Source organism: Homo sapiens, chromosome 6 (assembly GCF_000001405.40).
Source record: "Homo sapiens chromosome 6, GRCh38.p14 Primary Assembly".
NCBI classification, from domain to species: Eukaryota; Metazoa; Chordata; class Mammalia; order Primates; family Hominidae; genus Homo; species Homo sapiens.
In genome coordinates, this window is record NC_000006.12 from 87272095 (window position 1) to 87295158 (window position 23064).

General features: G+C 39.3%; 1 protein-coding gene and 1 long non-coding RNA gene across 2 annotated transcripts in view; one reads left to right on the top strand and one right to left on the bottom strand.

Annotated features, from left to right (window-relative positions):
* The first annotated feature begins 8841 nt into the window (after positions 1-8841).
* LOC124901356 (uncharacterized) lies at positions 8842-15507 on the top strand. The gene is made up of 2 exons (XR_007059667.1): positions 8842-9532; positions 12532-15507. It is a non-coding gene; the product is annotated as an uncharacterized LOC124901356 (long non-coding RNA).
* The window catches only part of GJB7 (gap junction protein beta 7), a 46299-nt gene continuing 34120 nt past the window's right edge, over positions 10886-23064 (bottom strand). The window contains exon 3 of the mRNA NM_198568.3: positions 10886-12845. Coding sequence (NP_940970.1) covers positions 12147-12818 — 672 coding nt within the window. The 5' untranslated portion in view covers positions 12819-12845 and the 3' untranslated portion in view covers positions 10886-12146. The remainder of the gene's footprint in view (positions 12846-23064) is intronic.

The following is a 23064-nucleotide window of genomic DNA, read 5'->3' on the forward strand; positions in this document are numbered from 1 at the left end:
AACCTTGCATCCCATGGCTAAACCTAATTAGTGATCAGTACTTTATATGAGACTCTGAAACTGCAGTTCTGGATTTTAAATTACTTGAGGGCAAGTGGTCTGTCTTATCTCCAAAGCATTTAGCTCAGGATCTGGGGTATAGTTAGTATTTATTACATTTTATTGGAACTGAAGGGAGAAGCAAAATCAGTCTTTAGATCTAATATACAAGTCTGAGAGTTAGCCATTTTTAACCTTAGTTTGAGGAAAGAAAGGACAGCATGCCCAGAAAGCCCACGGAAAAAGATAGCCAAGGCGAAAATCATGAGGAACACCAACATATAGTAGGCAGAAGAGACCAGCAAAGATGACTTGGGAAGGAAGAGTCAGGTGAGAACTAGGAAAGGGAGTGAGTGTACAGAGCATTATGGAAGCCAGAAGAGGGAGAATGATGAAGTGTCAATGGTCATGCCAAATGCCATTGAGAGATAATTAAGAGTAAGATAAAGACTACTAGAATTAACTGTTGGTGGTCATTGATCATTAGAGAAGTTTTAAAGAATGCCAAATACTGTTTATTTTCTAGTTTAATTGAATGAGCTAAGGAAGTGAAAGCAGGTAGTTGTTACTTAGGTAGGTAGGTAAGTCGTGGATGGAACCTGGTCCAAGAACACAGGTTGGGAGTATTAACATTACAAAGTAGGAAGGATACCTCTTAGACTAAGTCTGTTAAGTAGAAATGTTGAGCTCCTTGTCAGGAAGGAAAGAAACAACATTACCACTCAACAGCAAGCCTTAGGAAAGTAGAAAATGAAGTTTTGAATGGTGAAAATTTGAAACAAAAGATAGGAGGAAGAGCTGAGTAGGGGATATGAAAGGATTACCAATCAGCTAATAAATGCTGTTTCTCACATTCAATGCCCAGGTGATTTAGGAAAGCATAATATTTTAGTAGCACCCTCTGCATGATTCCATGGTATACCTGATAGTGTTCCTCAGTTGGATGAAAGAAGGAGGTGGTTGTGTAGTCCTGGTAGAAGTAATATGTTGATGAGTTGAGTCTGGATAGGGAAGGAAACAGCCAAGAGGACACATGAAAAGGGAGTGGTCAAGGAACTGGAGGTCTTAATGGTGACAAAGAGGGTATAGTGGGAATAAGGCTAAAAATGAGGTATGGAAGACTGGGACATTGAAATTTATGATTTTAGGAGTAGTACAGTTCACAGTGTCTGGAAATGGCCATACAATTAGATTCCTGAATTCGATGTAGATTAACTTTGGTCCATTTTATTGGATGGACTGTACGCAGAAGATGCCCTTAGTAGAAACCAGTGTGAGAAATGCTGAAGTCCTAAATTTGCTTTAGCAGGGCCAGGCCTGGTGGATCATCCCTGTAATTCCAGTGACTTGGGAGGCTGAGGTGGGACAATCGCTTGAGCCCAGGGGTTCAAGGCTGCAGTGGATTATGATCCCAGGGTAGGTGGCAGAATGAGACCCTGTCTCAAATAAAAAATAATTGATAAGGAGTGTACCTACAGGCTGTGTGGTACACGTAAGGAGTTTGGGAAAGCAGCTTCTTGAGAGTATTGTCTTGGGAGATCCATGTTCAGTTAAGATGAAATTGCCGTATATAAGTCTGCAGCAGTAAAGAACAAGAGTTCTAGAGAGAATAGAGGGAACCCTAGGGAACATAATTAACAATATTGGCAGGCATATTTGGAGGAAGTCAGAGAAGAAGAATTGGAATAGTAGGAATGGGAGGATAGGTAATAGGAAGATTTTGGGTTTTAGTGGCCAAAAGAAAAGATAAACTTTATAATTCTTCAAGTCCAAGGAATCTGGTCTGTCTGGCTTGCCTAGGCCCTGTGCATCGGATCTGCTAGTGATAGTTAACATTTATTGACTGCTACTATTTGCTAGGCACTGCACCAAGAACTTTTCTTGTATTTCTGCTTATTCTTACACTAACTCTAAGAGTTAAGTGCTGTTATCCCTATTTTAAGATGAGGAAATTGAGTAATATGAGGAAAGGCTACAGGTCTTACCTAAGGATCACACAGATAGTATGTGGCAGAGCTGAGAGTTGAAACCAGGCAAACAGTCCAGAGCTTAGCCAAATGAGATAATAGGTTGCTTAGTATTTTTAGCTGGAAGATTCCATAAAAATTATCCTAGTATCAGAAAAGAATTTTCTCTAGGTGATTACGAAGCAGTGTTAGGAGCTGATTAGTAAGTGATTTTCGTTTTTTAAGACCCACAGTATATGTATTATATATATATCATGTATATTATATATATATATCATATATATCATATATATATCATGTATTCTATATATAATAGAAATTTACTTATTTGAAAATTTCAAAACCATCCTTAGTAATTTATTTACTAATATATATATGTGTGCATGTATATATATATGTATACCTATTCACCTTTGCTTATGGTTTAATTAACATTGGTTCCAAAGGAAAAGAATAAACTTCTGGAGCCAGGAAGGAGGTGGCTGTGTTGATGAAGGTAGGGAGCACAGAACAAAGGGGCTGTCTACAAGAGGTCTGCACTGCAGTGTGTACTCTTAAACCAGAGAAACCAAGAGAGAAATGGAAATGAGAAGCAATTGTGCAGGAATTTAATGGACTCTGACTAGAGTAGAATTCTCTAGTCAGTGTGAATTGGGAGGGTTATAATAGAAACTTGTAGTCAGAGGTTTTGTTTGCTACCAGGTTCTTTTTGTTCCCCAGAATAGCTATGAACATGGCAAAAGAATGTTCACTGTGCAAGCTGCACTTACACTGTCTTTAGTGCTACCACCCATAGGTCTCCTGGATCCTCCTCTTCCCCTGCGTAAGTTGGAGAAAAGAAGTGGACACGATGATGATGGCCCTCATGTCCCTAGGTCCCTCTGTAGCAGTGAGGTGTTCAAGAAGCCACTGGGCTTTTGAGGACACAAGTGTGTTTCAAACTATTCAGGAGCAGATCACACCAGGCAGTTCTTCACTGGAGATGTCTGTGAGTCATCCTCTCAAGAGGAATGCCCCCTTCTTGCCAAGTCAGATTTGCTTCTTTTATACAGAGGCTTTAACATGTTTTCTTTTTTTGTTTCTTGTTTTGAGACGGAGTCTTGCTCTGTCACCCAGGCTGGAGTGCGGTGGCGCTATCTCGGCTCACTGCAAATTCCACCTCCCGAGTTCACACCATTCTCCTGCCTCAGCCTCCCGAGTAGCTGGGACTACAGGTGCCTGCCACCACACCTGGCTAATTTCTTGTATTTTTAGTAGAGACGTGGTTTCACCATGTTAGCCAGGATGGTCTCAATCTGACCTCGTGATCCGCCCACCTCGGCCTCCCAAAGTGTTGGGATTACAGGCCTGAGCCACCGCACCCGGCCGCCTTTAAGATGTTAACCAACTCCTTGACACTTAAGATTTGGATGGGAGAAGGATATACAGAGAATCAGTCTTGTTTATGTTTTTTCAGTACACTTTTACATTATCCAAATACTTAAGTCATTCTTGGCAATCCTTGTTTGCTACTTCCAACCCTATTAAAACTGATCGGCTCATTAGATTTACTTATTTGAAGATTTTAAAACCTCAGCTGCAGCAGTACAAAATTTTCTCTCAAGCATGTGTACTCTTAAAGGAGAATTTCTAATCAAGTATGGCAGTTGGGTGTTCATTTATGCAGTTTAAAATTTGATCCTCACAACCACCCCTGCCCCATAAGAAGAGGAAAATTAGCAACCCCATTTTATAAAGACAGTCACATGGGAAAATTTAAAGACTTTTAACAGCAAACCTATGAAATAGGTCTCTGGCCCCTAGTTCAGAATGTTCTCCATTGTCCTGGCTGATGAGTGTATTGCCATTTATTTCAAGGCAGAAGAATGAAGCTTGAGATTGTCAGAAATATATAGGGAAAGTTTTTAGGTTTTCATTGTAAATACAGGAAGTAGTGCAATACACTTCTCATTTCAGTAAATAAGGCAAAATTAGAAGTTATGTCATACATTAATGTCTTCAGTTTAAAAAGTCTTATCACTATAAAATGAGAAACAAGTAATTCTAGTTTATTTCAACAAAATCTTGAGGACCGTATGAAAGAGAACATCTGCTCTGCCAGAAGTGAAAAGACCAGAAACCTAGAATGCTCTGATCATGATGTGCTCTTAGCAGCACAAAATAGAGGCTGGTTGGCTCTGTGTAATCCTTGAGCTTTAGGTATGTGTTGTTCGGACTGCCTTTCTCTAAGCTGATATCCCTGACAATGAGAGAAAAACTGAATTTTGATTTTAAAACTATAATCTGGAACCCAGCATTCCTGTGGCCTAGCTACATTTTTTTTTCTTTTTCTTTTTACTGACCAAGCTATAACCTCTAGGCAGCTTTCCTTGGAAATACAACATTGAAGCAAAGGGCAGACACGCTCTCTTAGAGTTTTCAAGTCTCATACACAGAATTGGGCCCTCAGTTACAAAGTGCCGAGCTCAAAGATCCTGGAAGAGAAGCTTGGGAAGCCCAAGGCTGAGGACTGGCTCTAGATAGAACAATAGGTAATATTTAATAAACAATCATGTGTCAGCAACTGTTCTGAGCTCTTTGTATGGCAATTCATTTCTCATAACTAAGAAAGGAATTAGCTACCACTGGAGGTAACTCAGTCTTATTTGTGTTATCACCATCTGACTATTCCAAGGGACCAGTGTGTTCTTGCTGAGTCAGGTTAACAATCCTAGATACTGCTTGAAGGAAAATTTATATAGTAGTCAATAGCGTGTGTGTGTGTGTGTGTGTGTATGTACACACTATATACACACACCTTCAACAAAGCAAACATTGTGGTAGATTTTATAATCCTGTCAGGGTAGTGAGAAAGACCATGTCACCATTTGGCAAAATTTACATTCAAATCCTGTTACTACCTTGCTTTCTCTTCTTTATCAGAGGCCATATTCATATTGGCTTCATCAAAGTTACATACACTCCTTTTCAGCAAACGTGTATGCATAATCAATAAATATTCAGATGTTCTTTGAGCACTTTTCTCAGAATATTTTTTTTAGGTGATTTGCTTCACTTGTAGCTGGAGTTGGGTCTGGAGTGAAATTGGAAGTACAGTAACTTACATGGCTCCATATGAAGTAAGTTTAAAAGTGGAGGTGTGTGATGAGTGTATAAAGCTTGTCAGTTTCATAGGCTAACTTAACATACATGTTGCTCAGTTACTGAATTGCACAGGATTAAGAGGCCACAAGATGGCAAACTAACACTGGAAAGGAGTATGTACAGTTAAGGTCTGAAAATTGAACCAGAAATTACCTTCCCATTTTTTATTTATATTTTAAAGGGGACATGGGCTAATATGTGGTAGTCATTTATATTTTGGGGTACTTAAACAGTTATTAAAGTACAGGTTTTTTTTATTGGGAGATGACTATGACACTTTAGCTATTGGTCCATTTTAGGATTAATAGACCAGCCTTCATAATGGAAAAAGGCTAAAGCCATCATGTTTTGATTATACATATTTAGTTATCTAATAAGCTTTAAAGAAAAGTAACGGTCATTATGTGGATATGCCAGTATTCCAAAGATCTTTGAAAAAATGTTTTACAGGAAATTTCTGGAAGACTGAATTTGGAGTTTTAAAAAAACTGAATTCTTGCTCAGTCACTTCAGGTAACTGGGCAAGTCACTGTATCATTCTAGGTTGTAGTCTGATTCGTAAGTATTTTGAAGATTTTTTCCAGTTCCAGAATATTGTGATTTTTGTTACTTCATACAACACAGTTATGCTGAAAAATTCAGAAATATGTTCATTGTTTTTGAGCAATTACTGTGGGTTAACCCCTGAAGGTAAAATGATGGAGGACATAGTTCTTGCCTGCATTCAAAATGCTCACTATTTAGAGGGGGGGATACAAATGTGTAAGCAAATAACATAGAGATAAGTGATATGATAAAGCCATGTATTGTTAATTACAACACCTAACATTTTAAAATAATCTCTACATGCCGTGCTTTGCATGAGTCATATAATCTGTACAGTGGCCCTGTGAGATATGTATTATCACTTATCCCCATTTTATATCACATTTTGCTCTCTGACAGAAATATTTGATCGAAGCCTTACAATTTCTCAAGGTGGAGAAAAGAATTAAATCACACAAAATATTAAGTACCTCACAGGTACTAACTATAATGCCATGATTTTAAAGAACATAAATCATATTATAACCAGTTCTTTGGGACTACCTAAATTGTCTGTTGTAATGAGCTGCCCTGTCATACGTGAAATTTGTTTCTTAAAGATGATTCTGTTCATCAGAGATCTTTCTGTGGACTCAGGTTTAGATACAGCCAATACAAAGTCTTATTTTGCCATTGTCCAATATTTAGTTACTAGAAACATGGGATCTTGAAGAGTTTAAAAGAAATTTGGAGGTCATCTAGCTGTACCTTCTATATAATCCGGAAATATTATTGAACATCTTATTCAATGTTAGGGAATCTCACCACTTTATTGGGCAACCATTTCATTGAGGCAGTTCAAATTAATAAAACTTTCCAATTATTAGGTAAAAAAGAAAAATCTTTTTCTCTTATTTTCAACCATTGGTCCTGGTTCTGCAACTTTGAAACACAAAATAAGTTGTCTTTGAAGCATTGGGAAAACAATTCACTACAGTCTGGACACACACCTTTGTTAATACAGGTATAAATGAGCTCAAAAAAGTCTCATACTACACTTTGCTCATGTTAAGGTGGTGGACAGCTAAAATTCCAAGAAATTCATATCGTGAACTAATATCATCTTGGTCTCATACTAAAATCTTAAATCTGCAGAATGATTGCTTGTTCCATTTCACCTGACTTAAATTCTGAACAAAATTAACCCTGCTGAGATTTTTTATGTTTCAATTTTAAATGTTTCAATTCAATTTTTTAAATGTTTCAATTTTTAAATGTTTCAAATACTAGGCATTTCTTTTGTCTTCAGTTGATATAGGCATGCCTTCTGTGTCTTCATCCTAGTCACTAATGTGAATGTACTCTGGAACTGTTTGGAGCAGTAAGTAAAAGAAATTAACGAGTCAGTGATTTATATCAGGTAGGAGTTAAGTTGCCTCTCACATAACAACAAGCAGACAGTAGGAAAATAGGCAGTTCGAGGCTGATAAGGCAATTTCATAGTGGCATCAGTGTCCCAGAAGCCTGCCTATCTTCAGAAGGTCTCACATCCATCTTCAGAGTCACCTCATGGCAGAAAGATGTTGCCGGCAACATTAAGCTATGATGTTTCAGGCAGGAAGGGGTGGGGGCAGGAAAAAGATGCATGCAAACTAGGTCAGCACACTTTTTAAGCAACTTTCCCCAAAGCACCTTGTTGCTTTGACAAGAAGATAGTCACACAGCTACCTCTACATGCAGAGGAGACTTTAAAATATACCTTTTTAGCTGGGCACATTGACATCCCCAACAAAATCTGGGTTAAGTGGAGAGGGAAGAGGAACACAACGTTTTTTTCCAAGAAACGTTGAGCTGCTAAGTGCAGGGACCTAACCTGTGGGGATATAGGGATATAAAGAGATGAATAAGACAAAGTCCTTGACCATAATCACAGTGATTAATTTTTAATATCAAATTAATGTAATTAGGAACAATCTTCTCTAAGAGAATTAGCTTATCGGGTTTGCTTATCTTCCACAGAAAGTCAAATCTCAAGTTACTGCACTTTTCTTTGAGATAAATATGAATGAAAACTCTTGGCTAACCTAGTGATTAATACCTCTTTTAATCACGGGATTACTGATCATCTATTTAGTTAACATTTTTATACCAAGAATGTGGTAGTTGTACTGCTTAATATTTGTCTGCTCTGGCCCCAATCCACAGCACAGAGTTTAATAGTGACCTTTTACAAAAGAAGAGGAATCAAGTCCACTTTTTCAATGTCCTGTTTTTGATTCATCCCCAATTCTACACAACAGCCATTCTCTCTCTTTACTCTGATAGGAGGCATTAATATCTGAAGGTTTTTTAAGATAAAGTATTAACAAATTACATATTTCCTCTGAACATTTTTCCTTTTTAATAGAAAAAAAATAAAAATTATTTGTAGCTGGAGCAGGATTTGATACTTCACCTTTAAATAGATGGGAATATAGACCTATGTCAGTAACATCCAGAACTCATTTTACTTTGCTTTCAAACAATATTTGGGAAGATTGTAGTATTTTTAAAAGATAAGTATCTCAGTTGTTTATTAGACTGTCTAACACTGTGGAAACAAGATGGGTCTGCAGAAAATTCTCAGAGCTCCTCACGGTCACCAATATCTTTTACAGCCAAAGGAAGATTTGCTTTGTGAAAAAAGGCCCAATTTATATTAGAGAAAGCACTTCTGGCAGGTCTTTCCTAGAACACCTTCCTTGGGCTTTTGTCATAAAAATTCAATTGAATTCTGACATGTTTTGCCTCTACGTGCTCCACCACTGCTTCTTTCTTTCCTCATTAGTTTTTTTGTTTTGTTTAATACAGGGTCTTGTCCAGGCGTGGTGGCTCAGGCCTGTAATGCCAGCACTTTGGGAGGCTGAGGCGGGTGGATCACCTGAGGTCAGGAGTTCGAGACCAGCCTGGCCAACATGGCAAACCCCGTCTCTACTAAAAATACAAAAGTTAGCCGGGTATGTTGGTGGGCATCTATAATCCTGGCTACTCGAGAGGCTGAGGCAGGAGAATTGCTTGAACCTGGGAGACGGAGGTTGCAGTGAGCTGAGATCATGCCACTGCACTTCACTCTGGGGGACAGAGCAAGACTACATTTCGAAAAAAAAAAAAAAAAAAAAAAGACGGGGTCTTGCTCTGTCACCCAGGCTGGATGCAGTGGCGCGATCATAGCCCACCTCAAGTTTGAATTCCTAAACTCAAGGGATCCTCCTGCCTTGGCCTCCCAAAGTTCTGGAAATACAGGCATGAGCCACTGCACTTGCCCTCTAATCAGTCTTTTAAAGAGCTATGAAGTGCTCCTCACTTTTGTGCTCTGTGCAGTGTTAAATATACAAACAAAATAAACTAGGAATAAATCGACATCAGTGTTTAAGAAAAGTGTTACATGTATGTGATGGGATATGAGCTAGAATAAGGAGAGGCAGGGCACTATAGGCTTTTAAATTATTAAAATTTTGTATTATACAGGAAAGAAAGTTATGAAGAAGGTGGCTTTATTGGGACTCTCAGTTACAAGACACAGAAATCCAACTTGAACCAGCTTAAGCAAAAAGGAATTTATCTTTCATGTAACTAACCACCGAAAGATTAGGGGTAGAGCCAGACTCAGGGACAATGGGATTGAGGAGTTCAAACATCCTCAAGTCTTTGCCTTTTTCCCTCTCCTCTCTCATCTTCACAGTCTTTTTTCTAGATTGGCTTCATTCCACTGGGAAGACTGGAACCACAGCCACTTAGAGCTCTGGGCATTCTTTTGTACAAGTGCTTGAAAACATTTCCTGCCAGCTCTAATGAGAACTCCTGTGGCCAGGAACAAGGTCTGTAACTAGAAAGAGTATGGGACAAGTGCAGAGCAGTCGGAATAATCACTGCAAGCTGGGAGTGGCTTAAATGAAATTAGGGAGACCTCTGTTTAGTGATCTGGGAAGACCTATGGTTGATTGTTCAGTCTGCCTGTACTAGTTGCATGTCCCTGAAGAAAAGTGACTGCTTTTTCCCCATCTCCAAGGTTACTGTCTGCTCTGTGGACACCAGAAGGTTTCGGAGTAGAACAGTTGAGGTGGGCCAGTGAGACCAGGACACAGGTTTAAGATACTTCACCCTCCATGAGCCTTAACAGAAGTGGACATTTTCTTGAGCAGGAATTATGCATTAAATCTTGGGATGTACATAGCACAGTGTCTTGCTCCCAGGTGCTCAATCAATATTAATTTACCAATAAGAGAAACAATATGGTACAAATTAACTGCCAATTTCTCTCAATCAAATACTTTGGGTCCTCACTGACCCCAAGAAAGCCATCAGAATGTTCTCATAGGAAACTCACTTTGTAAATTAAGGCACTACCAGCAAGACTCAAGGAACGAAAATCACTCACCTTCCTATTTAAACATCTTCAATGCCATTGCCCTTGCTCACATTACCTTTCAGTTTCTTCTATACAAAGTGGAAATGCAAAGAATATATGGCCAAGCAGTTGGACTTTTTTGCTTAGGCAGAACTTGCCATAACTGATATGAAGAGGATGAGCTCCCCCAAAACATTTTTGGCATCAAACTCTTCCTCAGACTGACAAAGCCCCTTATTTCCATTCCAGTTCTGCATTCTGAAACCCTGTTTTCTAGATTCTGTGCTGTGATCAGGGTCTCAAAAACCTTAAATTTTTTTTAACCATCTATTATTGTCACACATACACACACAAAATTCATGATTACCTGCATTCATGCAGGCTAGATGTTTTCATATTCAATGATAAAGTACATGTTTGTAAGCTCAAGTCCAGCAGTGATCTGTGGTATAAATTGAAGAAAGGGGTAAACCACAAATTTCACCTCTCTCTCTGTTGTCTAGAACACAGTCTTTAAGATAGAAATAATGACCGCTGCTGCTGACATGGTCTGTAGACCACGTAATGACCCAAATAACCTTCATTGCGCATGACTTGTAATGAGATTATATTCTAAAGAGGGCAAGGTATGGAAGACATAATTGGTTTTTGTTAAAATTACATTTTTATGCCCTGATTTTCTGTTAAATTCTTGAGGGAGAAGAATAATTTCTTAGCCAAGCAGTGTTGCAAATCCTGTTCTAAAGTTGTCAGAACATGTTTTATTTCACATAGTAATCATACCTACTGCAGTCTAGCAAAGATACCAATGACAGCCAAAGAGCATTGTGAAATACCCTTATTTTTATTCTGAAGAAATGTACATATGTTAAAGTACTAAATCCAAAGAGAACATATCTGTGAATTGCTAAGAAAATATAGAAAAGTAAAGAAAGTTCTAGTCTTCAAAACAAGTGATAAACTTTTAAAACATTTTTGCACCACTGTAACAACATAGTACACATTTTACTATCTGTCCTAGAGGGAGATATACTAGTAAATTATAGGCGAACTATGACTTACAGTATAGTACATAGTGAATTCCTGATTATGAAAGGTTCAACAATATGAATATTTACAAAGTATTTCAATGTTCTTTTGGTTAAATAGAAGTCTTAAGTAATTATCAAGTGGGCACATTCTTTTTCTGTGGCCTCCACTTCCTATCAATGTGTTGCCTTCTGGGGGACCTGCTTTCCTTTCTGACTCTAGAGTGACCCTTTCGGATGTCTGCTGGTTCAGGCTTAAGTGGGATACCTCCCAGTAATATTTCTACTTGATTTGGAGACCACTGAAATGATAGCTTTCCTCCCTCTCCTCTAATCCACTTATATCCAAGGATCCCTGAATCGGCAAGAGGCCTGGGCTCTGTGGCCTTTTCCCTAGGCGGGACCTTCCTGTTGAATGTTCCTCTGTGTGTCCCCAGCTGGCTGCTATCCTATCCCACAGTTTTTCCCTGCAGAGATTGAGTAGGACAGGGAGTGGGGCCTTGGCTGCCACTTTGGAAAGATTGCCAGTTCCTTCATTTCAGCTCGGAGGCCATCACATTTGCCTAAAGTGTCACTTTTTATATTTTCCAGTTCATTGTGCACCAATTGTAATGAGATAGTTAGAAAAAACAGAAAACTGACACAGGGTTTCTTTTTTTTTTTTTTTCCCTGAAAAATCTAAGCTCTTAAAAGAATCCTGTTAGATTTCTTCAGACTAATTTGCAATTACCTATTCTAAAACAACTAATGTTATCCACATACTGGAGAACCCTACAACAAAACAATGAGACCTCTGTCTAGAGCTCATAACTGAAAGCATATTGACAATGTAAAAAAATTCCTCCCAAATGATACTAAGGCTGATGTGCTTTGTCTTCCAACTCAGCTTAGGCCTTGCTGAGGAGGGATGCAGGTTTTCTTTGTTTAACCCTCTTGTGTGTCACAGAGTAGCTTTGCTTCAGGTAGAGGGAGTGTGTTTATGGCCAAGTGTGAAGATTCTGGAGTAGGGGAGGGGTCCCTCTCCTACCACATTCAACATATCTGAGGCTGTGGCACTCACACACTGAGGACTTGAGGTTTTTTTAAATATTTTTGGAGACAGCACTTAATAAAGCACTTGAGAACCAAAAAACTCAGTTCAATGAAATTCAACACAATACACAAGCATGAGGTGATGACCAAGAAGAGGATGAAGATCGTCTTCTCAGTGGGTTTGGAGATGAAGCAGTCCACAGTGTTGGGACAAGGCTTCAAATCACACTTTATAAGGTAGGGAACACTAAAGCCATCATATAGCTTATAAAATAAAACAAGGAAGCCAATTTCAAAACCAGTTTTAACAATGAGGCTGATAAGATAAGCGTACCATAGGCCCCCATCCATTGTACCTGGGCTGACATAGAGTTTCTTTCTGTGCCTTTTCTCTCTACCCTCATGATAGGCTACATGTAAAACCACCAGAAGTGAAGGTGTGGAGACCATTATCAGTTGTAAGGCCCAAAGTCTGACTTGGGAAATGGGGAAGAAGTCATCAAAACACACATTTTTGCAACCGGGCTGTCTACTGTTGCACTCAAACTCTTTCTGCTCATCTTTCCACACGTGCTCTGCTGCCACCATGTAGACCAGCAAACGGAAGACAAACACGACAGCCAGCCAAATCCATCCAGTCCCAGTGGAGTATTTATTTACTCCACTCAGGAGATCTCTGAGGAACATCCAACTCATGACTTAGGCTCAAAAGAAGGCAAGACTCTGCAAAATAAGACAATTTCATCAGGATCCATTTATTTCTATTCTACAGATCGTTTCTACTATTTGAGGGATTATGTAAGATAAATTACAATTTCTGCATTATAACAACTCTGGTGGTTTAGGGCTCTCTAAGAATCCCGAAGGATATGCTGTCTTACATACAAGGAGATGATACAACTGGCCCATGGACATAATTAATCCCATGTCCACTTTAATTTGAGATTTGGTTGGTCATCTACCCCACCGCCCACTACCCCATTTTCAAACAATTCTGTGGTTGGCAAAATCTTTCTAGTTTATTGCTTCCCTCTAAAGATGGATGGGTCATGTTACTGATATGAAGAGAATTAGACATGAATATCAAGGTGATCCTGGTATCTTGAGATGTCCTTCACATACCAGATTGTTGACGCTATAGTCTCTACTCACTTTCTCTAATTCGTTAATGCCCTTCCCAGTCCTTAAGGTTTATTACCTGCCCCTGCTTCTTCTTGGTTCCCATATCCCATATCAGCAGCTCAGCTTGCCACCAATTTGATAATGAAAAGTGAAGCTCCCCAATACAAATTTCCTTAAACTCTGCTCCTTCACCCTCCAGACTGACATATTCATACCAAATTTACCTTCTTTACCCAGTTTGGAAAGAGAGTCTCCCTCTTCTTACCCCAAAATAATCATTCACGCTCTATATCCCATTCTTGATCTATCAGTTTTCTGTGTTTTGTATTCTGTGGTCTTCAATCTCCCGTCTCCTTTCTCTCAGTATACAAATATGCTTAAGTGTTGTCCATTTTTAGTGGGGGAGAGGGAGAATCTTCATAGCTTATCTTGTTGACAGTCTTTCTTCCTTTATTCCTCATTTCTACTTCCTCAACTGTTATTTACTCCTCAACTCATTGAGTCTAGTTTTTCTGCTCATCATTGTACTTAACGTTTATGCTAAAGTTAGCACTGTCATGCAACTGCCAAATCTTCTGGACACTTGGATTTTATGTAATTTTCCTGTGACATTTGACACTGTTGCCTGTGCTTGCATTCCTGAAACTTCTTCAGACTTGAGTTCTATACCACTCTACCCTCTCTTCTTGTTTCACGCCTCCTGATTCTTTCATCTTCGTTTTTGTTGTCCACCTCTTAAGAATTCTGTCCTTTGCTCTTTTCTTACTCTTTATGCTCTCCCTAGAAAATCTCACTCATCCCCATGGATTCGACTTCTGCTTTCACCTTCCTGACTCTCCCTAAACCTACACAGCTCCCTGCCTCATGATGATCATCTAAATGTCCCACAAGAATTCTGAACTTGATACATCTACAACTGAATTTATTCTTTTCCTTGCCCTTCAACTTCATTCTTATTGAATGGCATCACCAACACCCAAGCGCCTGTCAGAAATCTCATATTCATCCTAGACTCCTCTCTCATGACCTTTTTAATTGCCCACAAAGTTCTTCAGATTCCTCCTAAATGCATCTCAAATCCATCTCCAGGTCACTGCTGAAATCTCTGTCACTCCTACAACTCTCATTAGGTTCTATTTCCAGTCTCATTATCTCCTTCCCTCCCCTTCTAGTACATCCACGATGCTATTTAATTCTCTTAAACTTCTTCGCATCTCTTGCTCTTTTCTCAATAAAAGCTAATAAGAATCTGAAGAGCCTTCTTTTTCATTTCGGTGACATTTTCTTTCTGGCACTGACTGCTTCCATCTTATCATTGAACTTCGTGGGATGGGCCTGATTCATTGTTTGTTGGGTCCATGATATGCTCAGAACTCTGTTCTGTGCTTTTGAGTTGATCTCTCAAAACCACTCTGAAAGGTGGTTTTTGTTTTTGTTTTTGTTTTGTCTTTGTTTGCCTTATGATGGTGGTGGTTTTATTCTTGCAAATGAAAAGGCAGACTCAGAAATGAAGACACTTTCTCAAGGTCACAAAGTAAGATGCAGAGCAGGGCTCAAGTCTAATTTCCATTAACTGACAGCAAGGTTTCTCAACACTTGCACCATACACATTTTGGGCTGATTAATTCTTTGTTTCAGCAGCTGTCCTGTGCATTGTAGGAAGTTTAGTAGCATCTCTGGCTCCTAGCAGCTAGAAACCAGTAGCCAACCCTGTCCCCTACCATTTGTGACAACAAAAAATGTCTCCATATATTTTCAAATGTCCCCTGGAGAGAGAAGACAAAATCTTCCCAGTTGAGAGCCACTGCTTTAACTTTCTACCATAACCTGTAGATATGGGCTAGAGCTCCAGGCCTGCCATGAATTTACTTTATAATTTCTCAGGTGAAAACTTTGCCTTTTCAGGTCCTGTTTCCTATAGTACAATAATTAATACTTCTTGTTTTCTGCATAGACTCAGCCAAAAGAGAATCATGGAAATGGTGGTGTGAGTGGAAACGGGGAGTTAAGAAAACTGAGATGTTCCAACAGCACACATGTTGGGAGCATAATACATGTTCTCTTACAGAGGAAGCAATATAGAGCAAGCCCACATTCCAGAGCCCTGAGAAGGCAAATGAAGGCTAAGAGGTATTTTCAGGGAAAACAAAGCTACATGTACACAATGCCCTATTCAGCAGGGAATAAATACTTCAATGTCCTTGGTTTTCAGAACACAAACAAAATTGTATTAAATAAAAAGGATTCTTAAGCCTACCGGAAAGGTTAATGTCTTTATGAATTATTAAAACAAAGCCCCAAAGATTAAAAAGGAAAAAATATGTTTCCCTATGACATGTATCATTGGGCGTTTGTCTGTATTACTCAAGAGGATATTTATGTAATCTTACTAAACATTTGAAAGTACCTTGTTGGGCATTTTAGAGGTAGGAGGAAGGTAAGAGACTGTGTTGCTAAAAGAAAGGCAACAAAAAAAAAGTGACTGATCTTTGAATATAATCAGAGGATGATGGCATCAAATGTCATAATTATGACTTTTATTTTATAAATGTCCATCCTATTTTTTTAAAAAAATTTTTTTTCAGATGGAGTGTTGCTCTGTTGCCCAGGCTAGAGTGCAGTGGTGCAATTTCAGCTCACTACAACCTCCGCCTCCCGGGTTCAAGCGATTCTCCTGCCTCAGCCTCCCAAGTAGCTGGGATTGCAGGTGCCCACCACCACGGCTGGCTAATTTTTGTATTTCTAGTAGAGACGGAGTTTCACCATATTGACTAGGCTGGTCTCGAATTCCTGACCTTGCGATCCGCCCACCTCAGCCTCCCGAAGTGCTGGGATTACAGGCATGAGCCACCGTGCCTGGCCCCTATTTTCAAAGGATGGAAAGACAATGGCATTCTTATTCTTTACAATAAGAATATACAAAATTAAATCTGAAAAAAATAAACCTAATAAACACTATGAAATCAGAGACCTATCACTCTTTCATATGTATATATTTGGTTCTTGTAACAATTGGAGAAAGCTGTTTATAGAATAATGTTTACAAAGCAAGCCAATTAACGGACATCTGGAAGGTTACCATGTCGGAAAATCATATAGTGAATCCTTTTAAATCTTTCTTGCCTCTACATATATGTCAATGACTCCCAAATTATGTATCTCCAGTGTGGACCTCTCATCTCTGACTTTCAGCTGCCTTCTTATCATCTCCAATAGGATGTCATCTCATAAACTTAAAATATTCAAAAGTGAAATCTTGCCAGTACTTTCTTCACTTTATGAAGCACCATCCAAAGCACTGATCCTTCTCAGTGTTCTCTGCTTCAGTAAACTGCACCACCATCCGCCCAAGTGTTGAAGCCAGAAACTTGGAAGTCATTCTTCATCCTTCTCTTTGCCTCAAACCCCACATCCAATCTACATTCAAGGCCAAAGTTTTTACCTTTGAAATACATACCAAAACTTTTCACTCTTTTCATCTGCGCTTCCACCACTCTAATCCATGCCACCTTCATCTCCTGCCTGGAACACCATAATAGCTTCCTATCTGTCACTCTGTTTCTCATTCTTGCCCTCTCCAACCCATTATCCATTCAGATTAACTTTTAAAATGGAGACTGTATATTCTCATTTCTCTGCCCTACCATGGTTTTCTGTTGCATTGAGGGTAGGGGAAAAAAGGCCAAACACTTATCTGGACAACAATAGCCTGTGTAGTGGTGCCCATGCCTGCATCTCCAACCTTGTCTTGCACATCTCCAAAGGATACTGGATTCCAGACATGCTTTCCTTCCTTCAGTTTCTCCTTTAGACACTACATCCATTCTGTTCCTCCTTCCTGCAATACTCTGGTCCCCTTAACCTGAATCAGAGTGGCTTTCCCTGACCCCACTAATCTAAATTAGGTCTTCCTTGGTATTCTTGTTCATTATGTTGGCTTTTTTTCCCTCATGCCACTTATAAGTTGTAATCATATACTTGTTTTCGTGATTAATATCTGTACAGACCACATGTTCTTTAAGAGAAGGAACTAGAGTTGCCAGATGAAGCAAAAATGTAGAATGCACAGGAAATTTTGAATTTCAGATACTACACATAACAATTGATTCTCATTACGCCAATTTACCAAGCAAGCTTCTGAGTAATAATTTTTTTCATGCTGAAATTGTTTATGCTGTGCAAGGAAGTCCTCCTGAAATTAGATACAAGAGTTCCAGTTCCTGGAGATGCATTTTATAGATCAGGTCTCTGGGCTTGGCTCATGTGGATGAATCCCTTAGAATAGATTGAGTAAACAATGTGCCTGACTTTCTGAACTTTTGGAAATGAGTGCCAGTTCTGACTGTGGTGACACTGTTGAAACCCCTGTTGAGCAGCCCACTTGTTCTTCTCTTATTGCAGGATGAGCTTTGCCACACCAGCAACTTCTTGCCCAACACTGGAGGCTTTAACTTCCTGCGAGGTTCAGGCAATGTCAAGCTGGCCTCTGGGAGGAAGACAGGCAAGGCTACCTGCATAAATACTGTCCAAAAAGCCCTTGCACTGCTGGGAGCCAGAGAGCTGCTTCGTCATTCCCCAAAAGTGCTGGTTTGAAACTTGTGTTCGAGGAGCACTGGATTTCCAATTGCCTTGCAGACTGCCAGCGACACTCCCTGAAAAATCCTTCAGCCTTCATACACAGCTCCTTTCACCTCTTAGTAACAAAATGCTCATCCTTGGGCACTTGACCATTTATGCAGCATTTCACAGCATCTCATCCAATGCTTACCTCCATCCTCAGTAGTAAGCAGGATGTATGGTACAACCTTCATTTTAGTGATGGAAGAACTGAAAAACTCAAAGAGGTGGGATACTCATCCAACACTCCCAATAAGTCAGTAGCAAATCCAGCAGTAGAAGAACCCAAGTTCTGCCTGGCTAGTTTCTACTCTCCCCTGAGTGCTGGATTCTCTGGTACATTCATAACTCTGTTCTGCCTTGCACACAAATCATCTAACCCCTGAAGAAAAGCATTTCCTCCCAGGGGCATCTTTCCATCTCTGAGTCCTGTTGTGCCTGCTGACACTAGCAAACTCTCATTCCCCATCTGAATGAGGCATTTTTATTTTTGAAGATGGCCTATTTGGAAAATCCCTAAAACAGTGTTTCCCAAACCCAGGATCTGTGGCCCACTGAGGGTTTGTTGTTATATTCTTAAGTGTCTACAAGAAGTTTATATGTACGTTCATATTCCTAAGCTTTTAAAAAACAAACAGAAAAGCAAAAAAGCTGAATGACCAGCTCATATTTAAGGACTGCCAGAGGATTTCAGCATTTCTGCACTCATATTTATGAGCATTCTGCAAACTACACAGCACTCAGGCCCAATCCAGTCCACCACCTGTTTTGTAAATAACACTTTTTGAGACTCAGCCACGCCTAAATGTTTACTGTTGTCGATGGCTGCTTTCATGCTAGAACTGCAGTGTGGAGTAGTTGCGACAGAGACAGTATGGCCCTCAAAACCTAAAATATTTACTATCTCGCCCTTTGCACAAAACATTTACATAGTACTTAAAATCATAATGGAACCAAGTACCAGAACTTTAATTATTTTAGCCTATGAGAAACAACACATAACGGGTATGCTCAAGAGAAAGCCAAATAAATGAAGCCACGATGGGTAGATGTACAGCAGGAATGAAGCCTGCTAGTAGTTTGATTGGAGACGAGTGGTAGACGACAAACAAGCCATTACCTGGCCCACAGAACAAGTGAGCCTAGCTTCAAAGAATCAGGCTTCTATAGTCAGTAGCTGGTTCTCTCAATGAGCAGTGATTTAGTTTCAGCAACATGATGTCTTTTGTCTGTTAAACTTTAATTATTTTAATTGTACTCGTTTTGTAATGTTCAATTTTTATTTTGTAAATATAGATGCATAAGAGCCATAAATCTACAAGTAGTTTTAGGTTTGATACATGTAAATAATTGTATATTAAAAAAATAATATAAAAAACACTTCGACACTAGGAATCCATGAAATACTGAGTAGAAAGAACAGTACCCACATAGGCCAACACATGTGCATACACACCACTTGCAAGGTTTTTAAATTTCCTGTATAAGCATTGTCATTTTTAGAGAATCCCCTATTAAAAACAGTGCTAAAGTTGCCCTCCATCCACACAGAAAATGTCCCTAGAAGATCCTGGACTGCTCCTCTGTTCCCCCTCGTCCTGCTCATTCACATCAGCCCTCACACTTTTTGCTCAGGCCTGGCATTCTTTCTTGGCTACACCCTCTGAAAGCTCTAGAGTCAACCACACATTCCACATAGGCAACCTTACTTCGTGGCAGCTTATCCAGAAAGAGCACATGTGATGCGGCACAAAACTGAATGGCAGTATGATGAGGTTTGCAATAATTTGGATAACTTCTCTTACTGGAACTTTTTAAAAAGTAATGACTACCCACTTACAAGAAATGCAATTTTCCCATTAAATAGACAAAACTACAAGAAATGCAATTTTCCCATTAAATAGACAAAACTACAAGAAATGCAATTTTCCCATTAAATAGACAAAACCTATCATAAGAGAAATAAGCTTAACTTACCTCTTTACACAGATGTGGAGATTAATAAGAGATCCAGTCAGTTACTCATTTGATTTAAAAAAGCATGAGTTGGTTATATTGTTTCCCTGAGAGCAAACTAGTGCTTTAAGCCCAGTGGTTTCCAAGGTAGTGTAAGCCAAACAGGTGTAACCTGATCATTTGTTTTGGCACATAACTTAGATGAGAATTCCTGGGTTTCTGCTGTTTTCAATATGTATTGAAAGAGAACTGAAACTGGAAAAAATCCAAAATCGCTCATATACACGCAGTTCATTGAATATTACTTTGTATAAAACCTTGCTATCATCTACACAAAGAAGCTGGAACAATGAGAGTGTGTTTCATCTCTTTAAATGATTTTCCAACATTTTATCAAAAGCTACTTACCAAAATTCAATGAGCAAAATAACAATTTAAGTTAATTTATCTTTGATGAGCTTAATTTAACTTCACTTCATAAGTCCTATTCTTGGAAATCCAGAAAGTAAAAGGGCATAGTTTTCATTTTCATATTTTTAATAAATGTAATGTATACTATTATAAAAAAAGCTAATAGTACAGCAGTAGAGAGAAGTAAAAATCACTTTCCCAACCCCAGAAATCATTGATAACAGACATTTTCTATGTATATAAAAAACAGATGAGAGAGAGAGAGGGAGTGATTTAAAGTACTTTATCCTTTTATGGAACCATTTCTAGGCATGAGATCATCTAAAATTAAAGATATGTAGAAATGAAAACAAAATTATTTCCTGCTAGAATGAGAATAGCTTAGGAAGAGAATTTTACAGTTGGAAATGTTTTAGATGGTATGAAATTTAACACCTTCATTCCTTCATTTTAGAGATGAGAAAACATAACCAGAGAGTGGCCTGCTTTAGGTCTCAGAGCCAGCATGAAAAGTATAGAAAGGAGCTAGAGATGAAACCCATGTCTCAGAGCTCTTTCCTTCACATTGTGATGTCCACATCCACAAACCATGTGAGTTTCAGCACAGGTTCTCTCTGGTTGCTCTTCATATTCACAACCCTTGGTTATTCCATATATCCATATATGCAATCCAAAAATCCAAAGAAGAATGTAGTTTATTTTATTTTATTTTTTATTTTTTATTTTTTGAGACGGAGTCTCGCTCTGTTGCTAGGCTAGAGTGCAGTGGCGCGATCTTGGCTCACTGCAACCTCCCCTTCGCGGGTTCAAGCAATTCTCCTGACTCAGCTTCCCGAGTAGTGGGGACTACAGGCACGCGCCACCACGCCCAGCTAATTTTTTTATTTTTAGTAGAGACAGGGTTTCACCTGTTGACCAGGATGGTCTCCATCTCTTCACCTCGTGATCTGCCCGCCTCGGCCTCCCAAAGTGTTGGGATCACAGGCATGAGCCACCGCACCCAGCCTACAGTTTATTTTTTTAATCATCAATTTATATTATTAGTTATGTTACTGGGCAATTACTGGATAAATTACCAGATAAATCCAATAAAGCAGATATTGCTTTGTTTTCTGGGTTTTTGTTTTGTTTTTGTTTTTGTTTTTTTTTTACAGAGATCCCAGGATCCCAGAATATCGATCCAGTTCCCAGTTCCCAAAGGGTTTCCATCGTGATAAGATCCCAAAGTCTTGTCTCTGGAATTGTTTGTCCCTTTCAGTTTCCACTCCTTTGTTTATTACTGGCACTCACCAGACTTTATCCATGACCTTAAAGCATCACCTGTTTGTGCTAAGACACCTTCTGCTAGCAGCAGCGGGGCTGAGGACGTTTGTTGTTGCCACAACCTTGAAGGTGACTGTACTGAAGCCCCAGGCACTGATGATTCAGAGGATCCCAGCCTTCTAAAAATGTCAGCACTAACCCAAACAAAGGTAGCATGCAAGAATCCAGTATGACAGAGGTGTAATTTTCCAGACAAAGATCCCTCCAGTATCTTGCAGTATCTCACACAGAAGCTGGAAGACGGAGAAATTACCAGGGGCTGGGGTTGATCAGAAGAGGTTCTATGGAGAGCAGGTTACAAGTTGGATCTTTATGGAAAGAGAGGCATTAACATGGGCATATTATGGACACAGTGCCTCTGCTACACTTTTGACAAAGGGATTTAATTCTTCCACCTCCATCTTTGGTTTGGGAGAAACAAATATAATAATGACCACAGAAAGAGTGGAGCATTGTAATAGAAAATAACACCATATTGAAGTCAAAAGGCTAAGGATAAAGCGAAATAAGAAAGGCAGAACTGGAGAAATGGGATGAATACTATAAGCCTCATTCTTCTCTGCCCCTTTTGGATTTCAATTTTAATAGTTGCCTCTTCAGTGTGAATATGTGACGCTGCAAGATAATCAGAAAGTGCACAGCCCAGAGCAGACAAAGGCAGTGTAAGCCAGAGCCTTTGAATGACTGGTGTGTCCCCCTCAATGAACCACACAAGGGTGGAGGCTGCAGGAAAACACATCTGAGTGATCACTCTATCGAGAAAGACCACAGAGTTGTGTTGAATGCAGATGCCCTATGAGAAGAACATGGTCAAGGTTCTAAGCATTAGCACCAGAGCTGGCTGCAGTGATGGAGGTATAAGCACTATTATGCATTGGGAACCATCACACATGTAGAACTGTGCTTTAAACTTGACCTTTATTTCTCAGCAGTATCCCTCCCAAGAGAAGCCAGGGGTTCTGGTCTTTTTTGCACTGGTTAGAGGCAGTTGGAGCACTGTGTTTTGTTCTGGCCTGAATAGGGCCTTTGACAAACTCAAGTAGGTCTAAAAGACAGTGACCAGGGTGATGAGGACATCCCTAACTATGTCATAGAAAGAAGGATTGTAGCAACTTGAGATGTTTAGCCTGGAGAGGCAAGGTACGGGGGAGTTACTTATCAGAATTTGGTGTCATTTCTAATTCCAGGTTTGTTTGTTTTTTTCCCCACAATACATATCCAGCCCATAGACTCTGAGTTCAAACAAACTGGGCTTGGAATCCTGGACTTATTTCTTACTTAACTTCGTAGCCTTGCTCAAGATGCTTGACTTCTCTGAACTTCCATTTCCTTGTCTCAAAATGGGAAAAGCATTCCTTGCTTCACAGTGTTTTTATAATGGTTAAATGAAACAACAGCTGCTCAATAGATGACAGCTATCATTATCTTTGTAAGCAACACTGACCTTTGGTTGTATAATTTCCTGGCCAAAAAAAAAAATGGCATAAGAAATGAGAGAAGTATGCATAGATTT